We start from the raw sequence: 24782 nt of genomic DNA on the forward strand, positions 1-24782 counted from the left end.
ACTCTAACATCTGCCTTCCCTCCTGACCAACAGTGCCTAGTACAGTGCTGTGAATAGAAAACACCAACAAATATTTCCCAGAGAAAAGAGCAATACAGTCTCCAAAGAAAAAATAAGCTCTTCTGCATCTTTGGCTATGGTTTAAAAAGTACAAGGTCAGCTCTTACACACATGCACACACACACACAGACACACTTCATTAGGAAAAACAGGGGCTGTGGGCTCCAGTTTACCTGGAATTGTATCTAATCTCTCACCACAAAGCTTCTGATGGGCACTTGGTCATTAAGGTGTGGCCTGATGTCTTGGAAAAGCCTGAGCTTCGTGTTAAAAGGGAGAAAGTGAGGATTCCATGCCTCTGCCTGCACTCAGCTCTAAGTCTTTGTTAGAGAACAAAGACTTTAGGGAACTGTCTGCCTGTATTGTGTGGGTTCTGTTTTCAAGGACAAAAAAATATTAAGGGGAAAAAGTCATTTTGAGAATTTTCTTTAGTAAAATTAAATCTTACCTAGAGCAACTTTTCTTTCTCAAGCAGAGAAGTTCAATCACCCACCCCCAGCCCTCTGAATAGCAACTAAGAAAGATAAAACCATTTTTCTGCTCTGAGATTATTAGCGATCAAGGGCACTAACGAGGGGGCATATGAGCAGCTGGCTTACAGATGTGTATTTAAGATGCTTGAATCTGCTGCTTAGGAGAAACTGGGAGGGGCTGTCTGGGAAGGAAATGGGCAGTGGGTGAAAATGTTCTGAGTACACATGACGACACCAACACCTCGCTCATGGAGAACACGTGAAAGAGCAAGAACGCACAGTGTCTGACCAGGTGTACCTGACAATCCATATACTTGCAACATCAATCATGGTGTAGCATCCTGGTGAGCTTGAAAGAGGCCCTACCCTGTCCCTACAGCCCAAAGGGGCTCAAGTTCAGGTCTGGTGGTTTTTCTGTTCCAGTAGCCCACCTTCCACCACCTCCTTTACCTTCCAATATGCCCCGCCCCACACGCCTGCACCCTGCCTGTCCCCTAAGGTTCCTCCCTCTCACCATGTGACTTGGCCAATTTATGTCGTAAGCAGCCACACTTTCCCTTCTGGGAGGCATGGGGCATTCAGCGCTCCTGTATCATTCCTTGGCCCCACGCGCAAGCTCTCAGCCTTCTTTCCACACAGCACAGCCCAACAACCTAGTACTTTTTGTCTTGCACCTGCTATACTGGGGGTTCTCACTCCATTCCTATCCTCTTCATCCTCTTTCAATCCCTTAACAACACAGGCCTCAATGACTTCAAGAAACCAACAAAGAGTGGCAAAGACTCCCCAAGTAAATTATAGAAGAATTCAGTAGAAGACACAAAGGTTCAGTTACATTCATAAGGAACCCATTTATTCATCAGCAAAAACTCACCAAAAGATCCATGAAAAGAATTCAGAGGTCCAAGGAACCTTGATGAGAAAAAAAGGCTCTCTTTATTTTCACAACCTTCTCACTGAACTCTAGCATTTCCTTCAATTATGAATGCAGGCAATAAACCACAGTTTCAGCAATATCTATGATTTGCCAAAGTAGAAATCAGATTTTTTAATATATTATGATTGTTAAGGATTTTTTCAAGCATATGACAGTTATTAGACCTCCAAATAGATCTTGCTTTGTAATGACTTAATAAAGAAGCACACATATGACTGTACCACATACTTGTTTTATTTATATTTTTGATAACTGTATTTCAATATAATTAACTTCCTTTGCAATTCTATGTATTTTATTATGTGCATTTAAAAATGTGATTCTGAGAATGAATCCACAGGCCTCACCAGATGCCAAAGGAGTCTGTGGAAAAAAGGAAAGCATTGGTTGAGAACTCATCCTTCCCCAACTCTCTATAACTCCCGTGCATGCCCCCACCCCGAAGATTCCTGTGACAGGGTCTTAAGCTGCACTGTAGGTCTCTGAGCACTTGGACTTGAGTTCTCCTAATGCCTCTAGAAGTGATAAATATCCATGCTCATGTCAAAAGCAGGAAACTCAAAAAGTTTATATGCAGGCCAAGTGCAGTGGCTCATGCCTGTAATCCCAGCATTTTGGGAGGCCAAGGCGTGTGATCACCTGAGGTCAGGAGCTCGAGACCAGCCTGGCCAACATGGTGAGACCCTGTCTCTACTAAAAATACAAAAATTAGCCGAGCATAATGGCATACACCTGTGGTCCTGTAGTCCCTGCTACTGGGGAAGCTGAGGCAGGAGAATCACTTGAACCCGGGAGGCGGAGGTTGCAGTAAGCTGAGATCGCACCACTGCACTCCAGCCTGAGTGACAGAGTGAGACTCCATCTGAAAAAAAAAGAAAAGTTTATATGCAGCACGGGAGTAGGAAGAGAGGAGTGGGAAGGACTGAGGAGCCAGGAGCCCTGGTTTCTGGAAGCCCTCAGAGCTCTGTTTCTCTGGAGCAGGGCTAAGCAGCCTCTGCCCTGGCAGCCAGGTCACCTGTGTCATGCCCACAGGTGGGGAGTCAGAGGGGTCCATAGGAAAAGCCACCTCTTCAAAGTCCCAACCCACCTGAAAATACACCTCCAGCCATGAGGTACCTGCTGATTCCAGACCAATGAGGGCAACGTTCTCTTCCCTTTCAGGAAAAGAAGAAGAAATTCTTTTGTGAACATAATTCTAAACTGGGTGAGAGATATTGTTAGCTACTCAATTCCCTACCCCTCACACTAATTAAACAAGTACTTTGGGTTAATTAATTTGTAGGAAAGGACTATATTGCGGAGTGTACATTTTTTTTCTGGGTTTAAACTGCTCTACTTCTCAAGTTAAAATTACTTTGCTTCAATTTTTCTTTCTTTCTCTCACCTTTAACTTGAAGTCTGTTTGCATGTTTTCTTTTTGCAGTTTGGAAAAAAATTTAGGGGGAATAGAAAGAAGGTTATTTGGTCCTTTGAAGAGAGAAATCCTGCTCATGGATTTTCTGCATTTAATTCATTGGAGAGAAAAGAGTGATTGAGTGAACAGAGTGGGAAAGGGAGGGACGAAGAAAGGCAAAGGGGGCTTTAATCTTCTCCCAGTGGAGGCAGGGCAGCTGCCTTCAAAATCCAGGGCACCTGGGACCCATGAGCCTTTGGAGACCCTTCCACAGCCAGGCCATGCTTGTCTGACCAGAGAACACTGGGCCACAGCTTCCTAAAACGGCCCAGAAGAGGTGAGCATTGGGCTCAGCCAGAAATGCTCCTGCCCTCCCAGTGCTCACTGCCTCAGGCACTTTGATCAGAGGAAGAAAAGCTGAGAACTAAGAAATCATTCAGAGCTCAAGCTGAGAGGGGGAGAGCTGATAAACCCAGGAAATACTCTTTGTAACATGAGCTTGTATTTCTTCCTTCATCTTTAGGCATAAAGAGAGGAGGCAAAATACATGGTCATCAATACTGGGTGATAAATGCTCAGAACTTCTGGGTCAGCTCAAGGGCTCACTCCAGCCTGCAAAAGGGAAAACACCTAACATAGGGCATGCATCGAGCTGAATACACACAGACTCCCACCACTATTTCCCACTGCAGAGCCCTCTGGAAATGTACTCCTGACTTTGGGCAGGACCAAGATGTCAAAGGGCTGGGAGTCCCACAGGTCAGTAATTGGGATTCATTTCAGTTCCGTTTATAAAAATCAGAAACTTTAGTACTTAATAAGTGATAAGCGTTGTGCTATAGAAATCTAGGACCAAAAGATCTATAGCAGACGGGGTGCCCACACACCTGTAAACTGCCTGAACTGGGCCTGGTTAATATCCTTTACAACTCTCCAATTATAACAAATTGATAAATATATTATAACTAATTGATAAATGGTATAAAGACTGTACTCACCAGGTCAAGGATGGCAAAGATAAGTGAGTGATTAACTGGGACCAGTGATGTCCAGGATGACTTCAGGGTAGAGGTGATAAGCTCAGTTTTGATGTATGAAAAGGAGTTCCTTGGTAAAACACAGGGGGAAATGATCCTCTATACAGGAGAAAGAACCAATGCTAACACACGGAGGTGTGAAACATCTTGGTGTGTTCAGTAGTTAGGGTTGACTCAAGTATGATGTCTGGGGAGGTGGGAAGATGAGAGATGAGTCTGGGGTCAGGTCAATAAAGGCCTGTGCCACACCAAGCCTTGTTTTCTGGGGATTTTATCCTGGTGGAGTGGTTTTAAACAGAAAGTCACATGATCAGAAGTGTATGAATGTGAGTGTGCTATGCACACGCATGCTGGCAACAGAATCAGAATGGTATGCAATATAATGATTTTCTTTTTGGACATGCTGATTTTAAAGCACCTCCTAGGGACATGGAGGGAGCAGTGGGATATATGGTCCCACGGCTCAGGAAGGGAATCTGTGCTAGGGATGCAGATTTGGGAGCTGCCGGACTGATGGTGGTGGTGGAAGTCACAACAAGGAAGAAACAGCCATGAAACCGCACCTCTGGACTCTGACTCAGCTGGGTAGCTCACTGCTCTGGAAATTCCTAGAACATCGGGCTTTAAAGAGTCCGTAGAGATTAGCCCTTAACCCTCATTTTGCAGATGCAGGAGCTGAAGACTAGGGGCAGCTCTGGCCCTAGCTTTCTGGTCCCTGACTCCCACCCTGGTCTGAGACCTGACCTGCTGCCCCACTCTATCTAAAATAGGACAAGGGAAGGAAGAGAAAGGGGAGATAAGAAGGACGAGGTGGCAAAGGTTTGATTTAGAGGGAGTCAGTCACAGCCAAAAAGATGAGGTGAAGACAAAGGATATTAACCAGGCCCAGTTCAGGCAGTAGGAGGAAGAGAAGGAAGCTGTAGTCCCCCACTAAATGGAGGAAAGCCTCAACCCCTTTCCTGCACTTAAGAAATCTCACTCAGCTCTGATAAGGGAGCTGCCATCTCTTCCAAGAAGCCTTTCCAACAAGCAGAGACAGAGCCACCTTTCCCTTCCCTAACCTGCATTGGTATTTCTTGCATGGCGGTTTCCATATTTGGTCATGAATTGAAATTATTCATGAGCACGTCTCACGTTGCTCTTGACTGTGGATTGATGGATATCATTGTCTGAGCCCCTAGAACTGAGCGTGGGCAGCCCTGCTACAGAGCGGGGGCTCAGTAGATGAAGCTGGAGGAGTCGAGGCTCACTGGGAAGACACGAGAGGGCAAGGCCGGCAGAACCAGATCCACGGATGAAAAATGTGAGTAGACAGACAAGGAAAACCAGAGCAGAGTTTGAGAAAAACATGGGGTTGCCATCTCCCTGGAGGCCTATCCCAGCTCCCCCTGTTTGAGTCACAGGCTGAAGAAAGCCCAGGTGATTTGACACCCGTCATACCAGCTCTGGCAGAGGCAGGACGGGATGATCTAATAGATATTTTCCAGCCTTCATGTCTATTATCCCCAAACAAAATGACATGTGCTTCTGAGTAGCTCCTCTCTGGTTATGTGCACTATAATTAAGCACATAGTACACACCCACCTAAGTCTGCACAGAGAGGGTGGGAAAGCCAACCCTGGCACAGCAAAACTGCCTCACTGAATCAATGCGAAGTTTCTACATTAGACTGCTGGCTGTCAAACTCATCTGTCCCACGATGGCCTCTGAGAACTCTCAGTTAAGCTCCATTCAAGACCCCAGGGAGTTGGGGAGGGGCACTGGGCTAGGAGGAGTGGTACCAGGACTCCAGCCTCTGTTCTGTCACTAAATGGGGCCCCTTTTCTCATCTTGGAATCTCCATTTGTTCATCTGGTCTACCCACCTGGCTACTCTCCCTACTCATGAGCCCTGGTTGTTCATGGTTGCTGCCCCTGCATGGCTCTGAGATTGGACCCTTAGGCCTCCAGCAGTCCCCAGAGACCCATGACAGCCCCACCCAGGTGTCCAGAGGTTGCTTTGTGGATCCCAGCAGAGGCATTCAGTAGGGCCTGGAATCACAGCATGATTCCTCTCCCAGACCCAGTCCTAGCCCAGGCTGGAATCTATGTCTTTTATCAGGGGCACTAGGTACTGTATTGATTCAGTCTTGTCCACCCAGAAAACCCAAGGGCCTCTGCCAGGCTGCAACAAGCTGAAGAACACTTATTGCAGACCCTCAAAGAGGTCCCTGGTGACCAACCTCCCAAAACAGTCTCTGCTGATTTCAGGCACCCAGACGTGCCCTGGGGCTTCTTCACCAGTGTAACTGGACTCGGGACACCTAATGCCTTCAAAGCTCCTTCCCTGCTAGGTCTTTCAGGAACAGATCATGTGCATCTCCTTTAGCCCTAGGCTGACCCCAACATCTCATGCCAACTGTTCCCCAGAGTCTGTGTGATTTTGACTGGCCAAGTGCAGGCCAGACTTAGGGAAGGAAGATTGTGGAAGGAGAGATTGAGTGGCATCCAGCAGTGGTAGGAAGAGATTTGACATCTGCAGAGTGTCCCTAAGCAATCAGGCCTCCTGTCCCCATCCTGGAAAGTTGTCATATGTGCAAGAGTGAAACAGGAGACCATGGCCCTGCCAAAACCCAGAGAAACACCTTCAGACTGGGGAGCAAAGCTCAATATGGCTGCATAGTGTACCCTAAAACTATAATAATAATAAAACTAAAAAAAAAAAGCTCAATGTTAAGTCCTGTGATTCTTCCTCCCTCTCTGACATCCATCCCCTCTCTCCACCCCTTAGTCACAGCCCTCCAGGCATGAGGATTTCAGGCTCCTTCTTACTCCAGCACAACCCTACTGCAGCAGCCAGAATGACCTTTAAAAAGTGGCCTCTTCACAATGTCAACTAGCTATAAATCACAGGAGCTCCCCATCTTCCCTGGGAGATAAGATCCATGAGCCTCTTCTCCACATCCCCATGGCCACTCCAACACAGCACTTCTACTGTCATCCCTTACTCCTCCCCTCCTGTATTCTGCTCCCAGGCCAGCCCACGAGTTCTACTTGTATCCTTCTTTTGCCATCCCTAAATACCCCATGATGCCACTTCCTCCATGCCCAGCCACACCTTGCCTCCCCCTAGGAAGCCCACCCTGACCTTGCCAGCTCATTCCTCTGCCCAGGACTCTCCCTGGGCCTCTGGGGGACAGTACCTCTTGGCCATCTCTTACATGGTCTTATGAATTACAGCATCCAGCTCTGTCCTCCAACTCTACCTCCTACCCCTTCTCCAGGCTGGAGAGATTGTTCAGCACCCCTCATGTTGCCAGAGTGGGATCACTCATTCTTCCACTGCCCTTACTATCTTGTGAGCATCCCTGCTGGTCTCTGACCAGAGACCTGCCACAGCGGGAACCCTACACAGTCCAGTCTGTTTTTCTCCATTGTCTTTTCTGCCTTCTGACATAGTATTTATTTATTTATTGTGTGTTTAATTTATGTCTCTCTCTTCTTCTCAAAAACATAGCTGCATGAGGAGAAGAATGTTTGTCTGTTTTTGTTCACAGCTGTATCCCATATCTGGCCCAGTACTTGACCCATGGCAGGCACTCTATAAATATCTTTAAACAGGGCCAGGCATGGTGTCTCCTGCCTATAATACCAGCACTTTGGGAGGCAAGGTCACAGATCACTTGACGCCAAGAGTTCAAGATCAGCCTGGGAACATAGCAACAGTGTGTCTTAACAAAAGATACAAAAATTAATCAGGTGGTGGCACGCACCTACGGTGCCAGCTACTTAGGGGGCAAAGGCAGGAAGATCCCTTGAGCCCAGGAGTTTAAGGCTATAATGAGCTATGATTGTGCCACCACACTATCCTGGGTGACAGAGTGACACTTTGTCTCTAAAAAATAAAAAGTCTTTGAACAAATGAATGAATGACTGGATGAATGTAAGTTATCATAAGCAGCAGCCATGCAACATCCCAGTGTAGGTAGATTCTTTCCACGTGAGACCCTGGGAGAAGCTGAGCTGAAAGATTCTTGGCCTAGGTGTCAGGTTCCCTGAGATCTGGGTGAGCAACTTTTTCTGTCTGTGCCCTCAGTTTACCTACCTAAAAAAATCAGGAGCTGACAGGTGCACCACTGCTGAGTCTGTCAAGAGCAACTCCTCATCAGCAGCCCACTCCTGCCCACTCGCTGAGATCCCAAGGCCTCCCCTGTAAACTACCCACAGGCCTTCGCCTAAGTCTCTAATTAGTAGCTAGTCTTATAATCATTCTCTCTGGTCAATACCACATTCATTATGGGCTTTCAGTCATTTTATTTCCCAGACCAAGGCATACACCGAACAGGATACTCAAAGAGAGGAGGCAGCCAGCTGATGAGGCCCAGTGCTTGGGCTGCAAGGCCGCCTGGCTGCCAGAGGGCTGAGGGGCCTTGGGGTCACACCCCCCACCCCTCCTTCCACAGCGACAGTGGATGTCTTGCTCTGGAATGCAGTGGGTGTTCCCTGGTGGTGGTGGTGGTTTCCTGCCCCAGCCCCTCGCACCTTCCACACACACCTCTATACTCATTGGTTTTCCTTCTTGCCTAGACCAGAGTTGCTCTTCCCTTCTTTCTGTGCCCTGTAGGAAGAATTCAAACAAGGCCCAGACTCCAGGGGTGGGCTACCCCTTGCAAAGTTTCAAGGGAAGTGTCAAGAAGGGCACTACTAATGTGTCTGTCCGTCCATGTCTTCCCATGGGACAGAGAGAGCCCACCTATGTGATTCGATTTTTTTTTTTTACATCTAGACTTGAGGTTTATATTGTTATTTCTACTGTGGGGATCCAGTTAACCCACCAGATCAAATTGAAGCTTTTTCCCAGAGAGCACTGCTTTGGGGGTAGCCCTACCCGAAGTCTCCATGAGTGGGTGGAATGGGAGCTGAGGCCTTAAAGGGTGGGAGGCAGGATTTGAGTGCACAAGAGGAGAGAGGTTGGAGGGAATTTCAGCAGGGTAGGGTGAGAGGTTTGAACACGGACATGTAGCAGGCTTTGGGAGGCTCTTTTTGAGTTGGAAGTTTCTTGACACAGACTACAGCTGCCTCCATGAAGCCCATACTGCTGTCTAAAGGGCTACCTACGGGGCCTGGCCCACACATCAGGCATGATGTCAAGGCCAAGAGACAGCTTAGGGAGAAAGTTAGTATGTGCAGAGGTTAGGAACACAGGCTGTAAGCCAGACCACTTAGGTTCAAACCTGGGTGTACCACCACCTACTGGCTAGATAACTAGTCAAGTTTCTTAACCTCTCTCCCCATCTGAGAATGAAAATAATTGAGCACCACCTCACAGGCTTGCTGGGGCAATTAGATAACAAAGTATGAGCAAACCCTTAGGCCCACACCTGGGACAGAAGAAGCGTTCAACAAATGCTAGCTATTAGTATTATTATAATTACATATTCCTTCCCATCACTATTGCCCTTCACCACCACCACCACCAAACATAGCCCAAATGATCACACGTGGAGCCTCAAGACACACCTTGGGCCTCCTCTTCAGCCAGTACACCTCCTGCCACTCCTCTATCGAAATTCTGCAACTCCTCTGAGGGGCCAGGTTCTGGTTCCAAGGCAGCCAAGTCCCCAGGCTCTGGCTGGGGTCCCCACTGTCCTGTCAGTGAGAAATTACAAGGTAGCCTCCTATCAGAAGAAACCAGCCACACGGACGAGGAGATGCTCCCTGAAGGACACTGGGAAAGTTACCAGGCAGCCGCTCTAGGAGGAGACCTGAGGATCTGACTCCCCATTGGGGTTGCAAAGTCCTTCTCTGAACCCCAGGCCTTCCTCTTTGCCATCTCTTCCTTCTCTGGAGAAGCTGCACCCAGAGCAGTCAGCTCTGCTGACCAGCTCTGCTGGTCAGAGCCTTGCACCCAGGAGCTCCAGCAGTCTTTCCAGACCAATCAAGAATCCGCTTCAGATGGGGAAAACCCACTACTACCCATCTCCGGCCTCTAGTCTCAATGATTTCAACTGCCAGAAAAAAAAAATTTATGCAAATCAGGGCCAAATTGAAAATCTGTTCATCACTTCTTCTGGTGCCTGGGGTCCCTTGTTGGGGAATTTTTAAATGGCTCAGCTCATCTGAAGCCAAAGAAGAGAGAGGAGACAGATGGAGTCATGCGTTTTTACAGAGATTCTTAAGAATTGTCCTTGTGGAAACCCCTCTGCCCATCTATGCTGTGGTGGGGAAGTCTCATTACATGACCGGCTCTTACTAAAGATATTTCTCCCTGCACCTGACAGCTCGGGCATGCTTCTGTGGGGACTCGCTTGCGTGGTGGCCTTCAGGAGAGGCATTTCTCATACCACTGGCTCAGAAAAACCCAAGGCTTGCTTATTGAAAAAGCAATCTTTCTGCTGCCCAACAGAATGCAAAGCATCGGTTTTAACTACTCCCCTCCACCACCAAAAAAAAAGTCCACCTGTAAAGGCACTTCTTGTCAATTAAAACTGACTCCACCCAAAAAGTGGAAAATGTGGTGTGAGCCAGGCTGTACCCAAAACATTTATCACGTGTCTGCACAAACAGAAGATCTAATTTAAAGAGCCCTGGGGATTCCCTTTGCATGACGTCTTCTGAGCAGAAAGTCTTATGGGCATTGAATTTGGCTGCAGAATTTGACTCAAGGTCTGGTCTTCAAATATCCTGCAAAAGGAGCGGGCTCTCAGAGGCTGCCCTTGGGACCATGATCACTTAGCAAAGCCCTCCCTTCACTCAGTGTAGTAGTCAGGGCTCTCCAGAGAACCAAAATCAATAGGACATAAATATATACAGAGGGAAAAAGAGAGATTTATTTTAAGGAATTGGCTCATGGGATTGTGAGGGGCTGGCAAGTCCAAAATCTGCAGGGTAAGTCAGCAGCCTGAGAATTCAGGTAAGAGTTATGTTGTAGGCTTGACTCTAAATTCTGCAGGGCAGCAGGCTAGAAATTCAGGCAGAGTTTCTATGTCACAGTCTTGAGGAGAGTCTTCTTTTTCTCTTTGAAAAACCTTTGTCTTTGCTCTTAAAGCCTTCAGTTGATTGGACGAGACCCACTCACATTACGTAAGGTGATCAGCTTTACTCAAAGTCTATGATTTAAATTACACATTTAATAAATACCTTTGAAGCAACATCTAGGCTGATGTTTCACCAAACAACTGAGCACCATAGCCTAGCCAGGATGACACATAAATTAACTGTCACACTTAGCATGTTCCTTCCACACCCTGGCCACACACCTAGCCAGTCTGCCCCACCTGCACCCTGGCAGTGCCTGGCTCCCTCTCCTTGGGCACGCATGCTCACTCACAGCTCTATGCTTTTTCAAGCAGCCTCTCCCTCTCCCACTGTAAGGCACTCCTCCCCCATCCCTTGCCTGTTCAAACCCTCCCTTTACCCTCTAACACCCAACTCCAGCTCCACTTCTCTGATGGAGTCTCCCTCCTGGAATGTCCATAGCCTGCAGCCAGACTTGGATCACACACCTCCGGAACTCCTTTTTCCTCCTCTTGTCTCATTTCTGAATTAAGAGATTGGTACACACACCTCCACCTCCCATCTAGAGGAGGGCTGGGAAGATGAAATGGATGCAATTACTTGACTGGAGAGGATTTTCTCTGCAAGGAAGGAAAGCATAATGATGGTAAATGTTGGATTAAAAAACAAATGAACAAAATCAAAACAGAAAAAGGGAAAGCCATGAAAACCCGGAGGTTGTTCTGACTGAATTGAGCTATAAACACAAGTTGAAGAGAGGTCGGTTAAAGAAGGTGAGTTCGTTGTAGATAAATACATTAAATAGCTCCTATTCAAGCTAATCTGTGAAAATGCAAATTATTCTCTGGCCCTGCAATAGGAGTCACCTCAGAACTGCAGATGGGGCTTCCGGCAGACATGGGGACAACATTAAGGGAGGACAGAGTGAGTCACTCCATGAAGACCTCTCCAAGCAAATGAGTTCAAAGTTCTGCTTTTAATCAATTCAGTGTGGGATATCACTGGGCAGCATTTCCTCTGAAGATAAGGACAGCATTGATTATCAGACAGGGAACCCTGAGGAGCAAGGGGCCTGCGCCAGATCAAAGGGCCAAAACCAGCTTCAAGAGGGGCGTGCTGGCTGCTTTACCAGAATGAGTACAACTCCCACCTCAAACCCCAATCCCTGACAGGCAGGAGAGCCTAGAGCCAGCCCACTGGGAGCCAGTCACCAGCTTGCAGGAAGGAGTGGAAGAGGAGGGAGATCCACAAAGACTAGGGGCATTTCTGAATGACAGAGTATGGCAAGTCTCAATGTTTGCTGTATTCTCAATTAATTATTAATATTGTTGAGCATGAAAAAGTGTTACACGCCCTATGCTAAATGCTGAGGAAATAGCAGACAGCCTGGGATCATGCCTGTAGGAGATGCATTCTATAGCAGGGAATAAAGACATTGGGCAAGTCCAGGTTGAGAATCCCTTATCCAAAATGCTTGGGACCAGAAGTGTTTCAGATTTCAAACTTTTTCAGATTTTGAAATATGTGCATACACGTAGTGAAATATCTTGAGTATTAGATCAAGTTTACACTCAAAATTCATTTATGTTTCATATACCCCTTGTACACAGAGCCTGAAGGCAATTTTTTAATAACTTTGTGCATGAAAGTTTGTGTCAAGTACTTACATGTGGAATTCTCCACTTGCGATGTCATGTTGGCACTCAGAAAATTTCAAATTTTGGAATGTTTTGGATTTCAGATCTTTGGATTAGGTATGCTCAATCTATACTACACATAATTGCCAAGATAAATCAGGTGGAACCACACACAACTTTGTTATTTGTTTCTTGCATTTTGCTTTTTGAGACAGGGTCTCACTTTGTTTCTCAGGCTGGAGCGCAGTGGCGCAGTCACAGCTCACTGCAGTCTCAACCTCCTGGGCTGAAATAATCCTTCTGACTCAGCCTCCCAAAGTGCTGCTGGGATTACAGGCGTGAGCCACCGTGCCCAGCCCGTACACAATTTTTAAAGGGCAAAGTGACATCATGGGAGCAGCAGGCTTGTCCTTGCTGAGGATGTGGAGGGAATTGCAGGAATGGTTACTTCTCTACAAACAGGAGGCTCCCAGCACTGCCTTTGCTCCTTATCCCTCCCTGCTCCCAGTCAGCTTTCAGAGCCTCAGTCCAGCCTGGGGAGGGATGGTGGCAGATCTTAGACTGGATTAGATATCCCTCCTACGTGTTCCTTTTGTGATCTGTGATGTCCCCCACCACCACCATCCTTCCATAGAACTTCCTGTGCTATATTTTAATTGTTTCATTGCCAGTCTCATCCATTGAATAACAAGCTCCTTGCAGGCAGAGGCATGAGAGTCTCATTCAAATTTTACCCCCAGGACCAACAGAGAATGTGAGACTTTGTTAGCCACGACTTCAAGTGCTGCCTGCTTAATGCATGTTTAGAAAAACTTCACTAATAATGATAGCTGCCAGTGTTTGAACAGGCATTGTGTGCCACATGCTGTTAAACACTTGGCAAATATTGGCTCCTCTAGCCTTTGCAATAACCTTTTGAGTCTGGCATTATTATCCCTATCAAGCAATTAAGGGATGCCCCGAAGTTCAGAGAAACTAAGTAATCTGCCCAAGGTCACACAGTGTGAGACTAGATTCAAACTCAGAACTGTCCCTGGACCCCACAAATGCTAGTGTGAGGTCTCCTGGAATGACAGCACAATCTCTGCAGATGCACAAGGAGAGAAAATTCCTTCTTGCCAGATGCAAAAGGAATCCAAGGAGCTTCGAGTGCTCAACAAATGCATCCACATGGAAGGCAGAAGGATTTGCAGTTGTCAAAATTGAAAGCTCCCAGAAATGGGGCTCCTAAGCCTGCAAGATCCTCCGTAAGGAGGTAAAAGCAGGAGCCAGACTCCACTCGTCTTCTCCAGGAGAAAAAGAAAAAACCTAAGCCGGGACATAGGGAGGCAGCCAGCCAAATAAAGTGGAAGGAGGCACAGGTATACGTCATCAATGTCCCTCCAGGTTATCAGCATCCCTCTTAGTCTTATCAGGGCTTCTCTCCAAAACTCAGGGCCAGCAACATGCAGCAAATCCCAGAGCTACTTCCAGACTCAATTGGGTCTGGGGAAGGAAGCAGAGAGAGAAACAGAGCATGTCACAGGTGAGGGTCAGGCACAAACTGACAGGCTAGACGCATGGGCACAAAAGTGGCAAGTGATTTACCTGCTGTCACACTGCAATCCTTAAGTGGAATGTGCTAAAACAATCTAGACTGCTCTTCCTGTGGAGGTATGTGTCTCCCTAAAGAGCCACTTCAGCCTGCTGCTTCTCCCTGTGGAAAACTAAGAGAGGAGTTTGTCATCACGGAAAGAAAGAAAAGAAGCCTGCTCATTTCATCACAAAAACTTCAGCGAGCCTATGGCAAATGGTCTCAATTCTTCCTTCCACCTGATTTATACCAAAGCCACTGTTCACCCTGATGGTGTTCAATATATCACTAGAATGAACACTGTGCATCCTGGCATTTCACCCTCCAAAGCCTTATAGAAAAATGGATGCTAATGAAGAGAACTTCCATGTTTTCCTAAGAAGACTATCAACTCTGATAATATAGAGTGCTTCAGCAGATCAATAAAAGCAATAAATCAATGCAATTTATTAAATACAACAAGCACTTTCCTAGAAAAGTGCTCAGAAATACTCCAGAATAGCATGTCACCAGCACTCAGCATGAGAACAGGTCCCAGTGGCCACTTACTTAGTATGAACAAAAGTTCAACAAATAGTTCATGAACAGATTTATAGCCAGGAACAGTGACCTTTCCAATCACCCCACCCCACCCCAATCCCAAAAGGGGTCTCCCTAGGCAGATTCTCATTGTTGCTCTTCAGACAGAGCCCCACTTACCATCCTTTCCACAGAAACACTCAGGTTGGCCCTTGAGACAGAGCTAGCCAGTGTTAGAGTGAAACAGGGTAAGTTCTATCAGGCAAAGAAAAGCATGGATGAGGTGAGGTCAAACATAGTGAGTCTGGAGAATGTAGGGATTAACCCTCCAGTCTGCCCATTCTCTGCTCAGAGAAGAAGCAGAGAAGGGGTCTTCATCCAGGGGTCTGAAAGCCATTCCAAAGGCAAGCCTGCATCTCAGCCCTGCTCTGGACATTTAGACAGAGCTGCTTTAACAACTCACTGGAGTGTGCCGGCCACTACTTTTCACTTCCTCCGCAAGCAAGAGTTCCTAAAACAGCTGCTAAGCTGAGGAAGATGAGAGGGCACCTCTCTCCCCAGCAATGGCAAACTGGAATTGCCATTTCCTCCCCAGATCCCTTCTGATCTTTCTCTCCAGTAAGGCCACTGAAAAGAGAAGGGTCATGGCAAGGCTCCTGTGAGGTCATGGTGCAGGTTTAGACACCCAGGGCATGACCTGAGAGCAAGCTCCTCCCCAGGCAAAGAGCCTTTGTGAAAACACTTACCTTCCTGTGTCATTCATTCCCACCACCTCCTTCCCTTCCTCCCTCCTTCCATCCATCCATCCATCAATCCATCCACCCATATCTCCCTCCATTCATCTTTCCACTCACCAATCCACCCATCCATCTATCCACCAATCCATACATTCATCTATCCACTCATCTATTCACCAACTCACTTATCCAACAATCCATCCACCCTGCAAACGCTGGGGGCTCCACTACATACAAGGCTCTGTGGGGATGCAGAGTCTCTCAAGGATCTAGGGTGTAAAGCAAGTGATAAAACAGCCTGTTGACCAGCCATATGATGGAATAGGCTGAGCTTGGCAGGCAGTTACCCCTGTGTCCTCATCTCAGCTGTGAGTCCTTGGGTAAGTTATCAAACCTCTCAGTGCCTCCAATGCCATATGTGGAAAAAAGGAATAACAATATACCTACCAAATAGGTTATTTGTGAAGATTACATGAGATAATGAAGTGTTTCCCAAAGGGTGAGAAAACACACCATCAGTGGTACAGGAACATTTTAGTTGGCACAGGGCAAACTGTTATTTAAAATAGGTAGCTATTTTAGAAAAAAAATAACCAAACATCAAACTTATAACTTCACAGATATTACTACTTAAGATAAATCTAAAGTTTAAATTTAGTTTACACAGACTGAGAGTTAATTGCAACACACGTTACCAAGAAAAGGCTTATATCCAGAATATATAAGAATTTCTGCAAATCAACAAAAATATTTTTTTAAAAAAAGAAAGATAAAAGACTTGAACAGACACTCACAAAAGAAAGTATCCAAATGGTCACTGTGAAAATATAACTAATCTCATTAGTAATCGGGGAATGCAAATTAAGAACACAATAGGGTATCACATTCCCAGGATGGCTACATGAAAACAAAGATAAAACTAAGTCTTGGTAAGGATGGAGGGCAATAGAAGCTTGCATACTTGCCTAACACTTGCATAGAACAGGACTGTAAATTGGTACAATAATTGGAAAACCTATTTGGCACTATCTACTAAAGCTAAACATACCCATGTTATAACCCAGCCAATATACTCCTAAGTACATGCTCAGCATAAATGTGCTTTAATAAATATGGAGATGATGCTAATACTACTATTATTTCTAATAGCCAAAACTAGAAATAACTAAAAAGTCCATAAACAGTAGAATAAATAAATAATGTGCTGATACACACAATGGAATACCACACAGCAATGAAAATAAATGAACCACAGCTGTATGCAACAACAGAGGTAGATTTCTCAACTATATTACTGAATTATAGGAGCCAGACTGTCTTAGTCCACCGATGCTGCTATAACAGAATACCAGAAACTGGGTAATTTATCAGAAATTTATTTCTTACAGTTCTGGAGGCTGGGAAGTCCAAGACCAAAGTACCAACAGATTTGGTGTCTGGTGAGGGTTGCTCCCTGTTCCCGAGATTCACCTCCTTGCTATGTCTTCACATGGCAGAAGGGATGAACACTGTGTCCTTACATGGGGGAAGGCAGAAGGGCCAAATGCCTAGCTAGTCCCCTAAAGGCCCCACCTCTTATTACTGCCACAGTGGGCATTAAGTTTCAAAGTGAATTTTGGAAGGGATACAAACATTCAAACCATAGCACAGACACACACAAAAGTAAATAGACTATATGATCCCATATGTACAATGAGCAAACACAGGGCAAAATAAACAATAGTTTGAAGGTTAGGATAGAGTTACCTCTGGAGAAGCAGGAAGAGGACCTCAGAAGTGTTTCCAAGGTCCTGGCCCTGTTTCTTGACTCGAGTATTCATTTCATGATAATTTCTTGATTTCTACATTTATGCTTTTTGTACTTTTTAATATATCTCTTTTATTCATAATTTTGAAAATATTTTACAAGGTATTTAAATATTAACACATGGGTACACGATTATAGCAAAATTGCGAGCATAATAATGATCAAAGACATGTTAGAAAGAAGTAACCTTCACAAGATACAGATCCTGTTCTGTACACTTTACATAAATTGTCTCACTTAATTGTCACAACAATCCTATGAGATACATAATACTATTAGTCCCATTTTATAGATGGGAACGCTAAGGCATGGAGAAGTTATATGACTAAGGACACTCAAGTCATCAGCAGAAAGCCAAGATTCAAACCCAGGCAATTAAGCACTGAAGTCTGTGATCTTGGCCATCACGCCACGCTGCCCTCACATAAAGGACAAGCATATTAACTGGCACAGAAGAGGTCACACTCATCCTGTGATGACTCTTGTTGTTACAAATAATACTCTTTCCTTTTGATTCACTGCGTTCTGCTCAAGAACCTGCCTGTCATTCATCACTCCTCTCTCAATTTGTTTTTTGCTTTGGTTTTGACACTCTTTCCTTCCCCTCAAATGTTGTGTCCCAATTTCAAGAAGTCTAATAAAGCACTGTCCACTTGGGATCTAGAGGATATCAAAGGCATAATAACACAGCACTTTGAAGCATAAAATAGCCAGACTGATATCCATGAGCTATTAACCACAAGCTCAAAAGGTGGGATTTGGCTTCACCTGACAATGGCTGTCTCAGGGAGACCACCAGAAGGTTCTGGCTTAGGAGTGGGGTGCAAGCATGGACTCTGGCTCCTCTGGATCCTGCAGGAATCTGGTGCTAAAGGTAGCAGGATCACAGGGAGAGCCTGCTGTAAACAGTGGGCACCTTCCCTCCTAGGAGAAAGCTGGAGGTGGGTGATGCAAGTGCATTTAGCATGAAGCAGGAAAAAAATGGTTCACAAATATTAGGAAAAGTAAGAAGATGCAGCCGGCATCCCAGGCCTTGAGGATGTTACCTGAACTAAACTCAAGCTGCATCTGCTCCAGGAAAGCGATGCCCTTTAAGACTGTGCGGTCATCCACCAGGGAGACGAACCCCTCCCCTCAGCACCTCCACAACCTGTTGGAAAGCCGGTTGATTTGTCATCAGAAGACCACTATTATGGCTCCGAATATCTGCACAATCCTTTTGGTGCTAAATTTATTTGTAATCATTGCAGTGGCCTGTTTAATATAACTAATGGGCATATTCATACTAAGCAGTATGCCATTGGAAATCCCCTTCCCCCAGCTGAGAATATCCACAAAGATGCAACAAAGATGCTGAGCCAGGAAGCAACTATATCTAAAGAGACCAGGCTTTTGCACTTGAGCCCCTACCTTGGATGGAGAAATTTTACCAAAGAAATGTCCCCACCGGACACCTGTGTGGACAGCTCCTGTACCTTCAGGCTGTGGGGACGGGGTGTCCTATTTGTGAGCTGCCATTTCTGAAAGCTTGATGACAGGGGCAGAGCCCCCCTCTGCAGGCCTCCTGCAGCGGATGTGATTTACCATGCACATTATTAATGAGCTTCATCCTAAAGTTATTCTGGCTGCATGTGGAGCTTAGAGGACTTGGGAGCACAACTTGGCAGGCAAGATAGGCTTTAAAATGCAGAACTTCTCTAGCTTGTTTAAAAAAAAGACCACAATATCAAAGAGAAAATCAGAGTGGGGGGCAGTAGCAAACAAGGGTTGGGAAGAGTAAATGAGGAAACAAAAAACTAAATATACAAATACACACACTATATGGATATCTATATCTATACACACACACACACACACACACACACACACGCACGCACACACAGCTCCATTTCTGTTCTGCTCCATTCCTTCCAGCCTTGGGGCCACTCTCTTGCCAGGACCTCTCATTCTTCTCTATCTTGTCAAAAACTCAAAAACTGCAGGTCCTTCCAGACTACCTGAGTCATCTACAAAATTCTCCCTTGAATTTCCCAGATCTCAGCACTTTTCCTCTTAGACATTCCTTCCTAATAGCCATTTGGCACTTCATTCATTTAATTATTCATCAAAACAGATATGGATGCCTTGCTGTGCAAGTAATTGTGGCAGACGCTAATCCCTGGGTCTTAGATAAGTCAGCTTTCCCAGTGGGTATCTTGTCTTTTTCAAGCAGCTGAGTTCCCAAAAGTAGGAAGCACCACAGGTTCATAGTCATGCTGCTCAAGGCCTGACACAATCCTTGGCACACATCAGACCCTCAGTAATACCTGCAGGATGACCACAGTGGACTCAGCGTGATGGACGGTGACCTTGCTTGCTTTTCCACACTGACCCCTGACCGGATGTTGTCAACAGCATCATTGCCCATCTTCCAGAGGTCAGCTGGAGGCAGAGGACTGGTCCCTCAGGAGGAAGGTTCTCAGATGCTAATTCAGCTTTGCTTGTCTAAGGATCTAACCTCTGAAGAATCAAAGCCCCAAACATCATCCTGTCTCTTTAGGTCTCCTGTCTGGGGACTCTGCCTCCAAAGAACCAGGCCAGAGACACTGACAGTGATGGAGGTGAGGAGGTCAGCCACCGATGGCTAACAACAGGCTGGCTGCTTCCAAAGATGAATGGACATTCATTCAGTGAACAAGTAAGGGCTACAAATGAGTTTGATGAATGGGGACTTCAAGAGATGATGGGAAGGGGCAGAGATTGAGACCTGGGCCCTGCCCTGTCCTCTAAAAGAAAAGACATTAAAGGTATGACATTGGAAGAATAACCAATCCTGACATGACATGAAGTGACATAGCTATCTCAGCCCAAATCCAGGGAAGAGCTCTGAGAGGAGGCACCACCCCACTCCCCGATGGTCACAAAGGAGTCTGGTCACACGAAGGACTTATGCAAAGTGTCCAGATACAGCCTAAATTTTTCACCATCCCAAGGGCCGGTCCAGGCTGTGAGATTCTGAATGATGAAAAATACTGTTTCCTCCAAGCTCTCTGCTACACCCAGATTTCTATCGTAGATCACTTCTGCATTTCAGAAGGAATGGAAATTTCACAGCCAGACACACTGTTCCTATCATAAGAGGTGACAAAACAGCAGTTTGCTGGCCAAGGTAGAAAGAACTGGGGGCCCTTGGACCTTGGGCTTCATTCCTTCCTAGATCACTTCAGGGAACTGTGAGGGAAGTTTTCTTCCACTGGCAGACATCCTACTCCAAATCCCAACAGGAGTTGCTTTCTCCAAAAGAAAACTTTGGCAAACGCATCACTGTATCAGCAAGTGCATCAAAATCAGAGATGACCCAGGGTACATCTGTTTTGAGAGAATCTCCTAGTTACATCTGACAAACATCAACAACTCTGAACCTTTCCCTGCATAAGGCTTAAGTCTAGATTCCTGAATCCGGCAATAACCACGAATCTCCCTTTCCTTTTATGAAAATCTTGATGTGTGCCCAGGACTATGCTTGGTGATAGGAGGGGTCCCCTACCCACTCTGGCCCTGAATGGAGAGACAGCACAACAGCTCATCTTAGAGCGTGCATGGATCTGTCAACTTGTCCTCTTCTTTTCTGGGAAGGTTGCAGCTGGGGTTAAATAACAAATGATTACAAAACCCCTTTCTCTTTGAGATGAGAATTAATATTAATGCAATTATATGCTGATGGCTTCAGTGCTCTGCTGAAATGGATCAACATTTAAACTGTCATTTAACAAAAATAAAACCATCCTGCAATGACTATAACAATATGACAAAAGGCAAAAATGCACAAAGGACTCTACTGGGTGCCATTTTTTGCAAGACTATTCTAAGAATTAGAGTAGAGGAGAAAAAAAATGCAACTCTCCCAGTTGAAAATGTTTATTCCCATAAAAGGTAAAAGTTGGCTTATTTTTGTGAAATATTACAAATATGTTCTTAAAGTCACTGAATTCCTCAACTACCTTACCCGAAATCATTGCTTTATGGAGCTTTTAAGTCCATAAAAATACCACACTGTAGCTAAAATAGGGCCATTCACCAAGCAACAGGATTGTAAACAGGATGGCAGAGAAAGAAAGGACTCTTTCAGAACAGTGGAAAGCCACTGTCCATTTCTTACAATGCAGTTGGTGTGGTCTGGGGACAAGTGAACTGCATAAGACTCCCCACTCACAAACATCTGTGTTCCCACTCTCCAAGCTCCATATTGAGAATCGTCCCTTTGAATCTCCATCAGTTCATTGTCAAAACAAATGGATCACTCAATCCTTAGACCTGTAGTGCTAGAAGGGACCCGGGTTGTCATCCAATTTAATCTGTCCAATGCACAGCTGCAAAATGCAGATCTGGAGACTCAGCCAGAGTCACACAACCAGTCATTAATAGAACTGGGATCCATTCCAAGGCCTCTAGATGCCAAGCCTGGTACGTTGTCCATTACCCAATATTATGGGTTGAATTGTATCCCCTCTAGAAAAAGATATGTTGGAATACTAACTCCTAGTACCACAGAATGTGCCCTTATTTGGAGATGGGGTCTTTACAGAGGTAATCAGTTAAAATGAGATCATTAGGGTAGGCCCTAATCCAGTATGACTGCTGTACTTTTAAAAAAGGAAATTCTGGATACAGAAACAGACACAGAGGGAAGATGTGAGGAGACAGGGAGAAAACAGCCATCTACAAGCCAAGAAGGAAGGCCTTGAACCAGTCCTTCTTTTACAGCCTCAGGAGGAACCAACCCTGCTGAGACAATAAATTTCTATTGTTTAAGGCTCCCGGCTGCAGTACTCTGCTATGGCAGCCCAAGCAAACTTACACACAAATATCAACTGTCCGGAGTGCAATATGTGTCTGTATAGATGTCTACATAGACATGTTGGCTTTATTCCACAGTTCAGATATCTATTAACCTTGACTTCCTTAAAAAATGAAAGAACAAAATTTTTCTAAAAGTATATTTTATAAAGCCTAGCCTTTAAAAGACACAACCTTGGTCCAAACCAAGGATAGGCCAACAGCCCTATGAAGTAGAGATTATTATTAACTCCATTTTTGAGATGAAGACACTTAGACACAAAGAGGTGGCAAAAACTGCCGAAGAAAAACCAATTAGTAAGGGGCAGAGCTGACTGCAAACCTAACTGTGTTTGGTTCCAGAGTAGGAGTTCCTAAGCAGTACGCTACACAAGAGGTCATGAATTGCCCATTGCTAGCAGTATTCAAACAGAAGTTGGAGGCCCACAGTGAGAGATACTTTCTAAGGAATTTCTTCCTTGAAGAACAGGGAAACTAGAGTGACTTTTTTTTGTTTTTTTTTTTTTTTTTGAGATGCAGTTTCACTCTTGTCACCCAGGCTGGCATGAAATGGCACAATCTTGGCTTACTGCAACCTCCACCTCATGGGTTCAAGTGATTCTCCTGCCTCAGCCTCCTGAGTAGCTGGAACTACAGGCACCCACCACTACGCCCAGCTAATTTTTGCATTTTTAATAGAGACAGAGTTTCACCATGTTGACCAGGCTGGTCTCAAACTCCTGACCTCAGGTGATCCACCCGCCTCAGCCTCCCAAAGTGCTGGGATTACGGGCGTGAGCCACTGCGCCCAGCCTGGAGTGATTTTTAAGACCCTTCTAGCCTTGAACTTCCCTGAGTTTGTGATCCTATAATTACTGCTGGTTTGAGTAGTCAAGGGAAATTTCAAAGAGGAAATAAGACAGGAATGAAAGTCAGAATTGGTGTGGACAAAAAGGAAATTAACAATGGGGGTGGCAGATTTCAGTAGACAGGAGGAATAGCAAGGAAAGTGTTAGTAGTTTTGAGTTCTCCAACTTTCCTAGTTAAAAGATGCCCATAGCTTCAGATCCTCCCAGATTTATGCTGAGTGTGGAGTCACTTGAGCCTCACAGTTGAGCCTCCATCCTTTGTGCAGCCTGATTATATTGTGCTGAACACTTTCAACTTCTGAAAGTTACATGTTATTATGGATGAATGTAGGGGCCAATGCTCTGAGCTCTTAATTTAGCATTTTTTGCAGCCCTAAGTTAAACACAGGCACACACATAATGCCTCTACCATGCTATGAGTTAAATTCTGCTAGCATCTGAGTGCCCACGTATCTTATATTATCCTTAATGTGAGCTACTAGCACATGCCGTGGAAAGAAAGTAGGTTTCAGAGCCCTCGGTTCCCAGAGCACCCCCCAAATTTATGCAGAGTCAGAATCATAGTTATTGGAAGGATGGCTTTCTGTCTCTGACACAGTTCAGGCAGCAGACGTGTGTTTCTGATGAGGTAGCTGCAGAACATGAAACTTGCTCATTTTCAAGCTAAGTTTTTATTTTCTCTGGTTTCAACAAGTTGCTGTGCAGAATATCTACTCAGCATGTGGCATTTTCTTAGCATGCTTTAGAATAAGAAAGGTAGACTCCCAAACACCCCAAAAGGGTGTCTAGATCAGCGGGAGAGAAGAGCTACTCAGAAGCCTGGTGCTGGATCCCTAGAGAGGTTCTATGAGGTGGCTGCTTAGGGGACAGGAGGGGATTCCATTCCAGCTGCTTGGCAGTGGGCGGGAGAGCAGGGGATGGGGGAAGGCTCGGTTTCCACATGCACTGGGGGAGAACAGGTGCTCACCAGGGTCTGGGGAGAGGAGCCTGGGAAGGGAGGCTCAGGCTTCACAGCCATCCCTGAAAGAGCCCTCTCCCACTTTCTAAAAAATGCTCTAAGCAAACCTTAAATTTGTCACCCTTCATCAGTTTCTGAGACACATTTGCTCATTTCTGCCAAGGAAAATAGGAATTGCTAAAAGAGAAAACAAACAAAAGCTGGGTGATGAAATTTTGCATCTTTATGGAAGTGCTGTTGATGAGTGGTGTCTTCTAGTACTCTCTGTACCTCTTTCCAAGGTGCCAGCAAGGCCCGGCTCTCCCATTACACAGGGTTCCCTCTGAGCAGCGGATGGGACCCAACCCCCACTGACAGCCAGGAAGGTCAGAGCTCTCCTTTAGTGCTTACTTGGAAAAGCCCTCTTCATCCAAGGTTGGGTATATGTTGTACACCCACCACCACCACTACCACCACCACCACCACCACCACCACCTACCAAATGACATTTGATCATTAATTGCCTTGTTAATGATTCCATTGTGACCACATCTCTTATGGTAACCTGACTCCAAGCCTCTTTGGAAATAAGTCTGTTATAAATAATAAACACCATCAAAAATTGCTTAAGATAAAACACGAGGAGGTAGGCAAACTTGGGGGAAGAACATTCCCAGTGACTATACGAAGAAACTTGGAGCCAGAAGAGAATGTCGAGTTCGGTGGCTCGTTTTTCAGATGGGAAGGCGGATGTCCAGAAAGAGAATGAAACTTGCCCAGGGTCACATAGCCAGTCTGTGGACAAATGGACAGACATGGAGGGCACCCGACCCCAACACCATGCTCTTCCCTCACAACCACTGCATTAGGATCCATTCTGATCCATGGGGCTCCAGCCACCTCCACAGATTCAGTGACAGCCCCACTGCCTGTATCCAAAATAGAGAAAAAAGAGGACTTCTTTTCTCCCTTTTATTCTATCTGCTTTTTCTA

General features: G+C 45.6%; 1 long non-coding RNA gene across 1 annotated transcript in view; it reads right to left on the minus strand.

Annotated features, from left to right (window-relative positions):
• Window positions 1-1682: 1682 nt before the first annotated feature.
• LOC107985792 (uncharacterized) overlaps window positions 1683-24782 on the minus strand; it is a 180825-nt gene continuing 157725 nt past the window's right edge. Inside the window, exons 4-9 of the long non-coding RNA NR_171639.1 lie at window positions 11384-11515; window positions 9399-9527; window positions 3862-3970; window positions 2558-2624; window positions 2203-2332; window positions 1683-1833 (exon numbers count right to left, since the gene is read on the minus strand). This is a non-coding gene — a long non-coding RNA (uncharacterized LOC107985792). The remainder of the gene's footprint in view (window positions 1834-2202; window positions 2333-2557; window positions 2625-3861; window positions 3971-9398; window positions 9528-11383; window positions 11516-24782) is intronic.

The sequence above is a fragment of the Homo sapiens genome, chromosome 2 (genome assembly GCF_000001405.40).
Source record: "Homo sapiens chromosome 2, GRCh38.p14 Primary Assembly".
Lineage (NCBI taxonomy): Eukaryota > Metazoa > Chordata > Mammalia > Primates > Hominidae > Homo > Homo sapiens.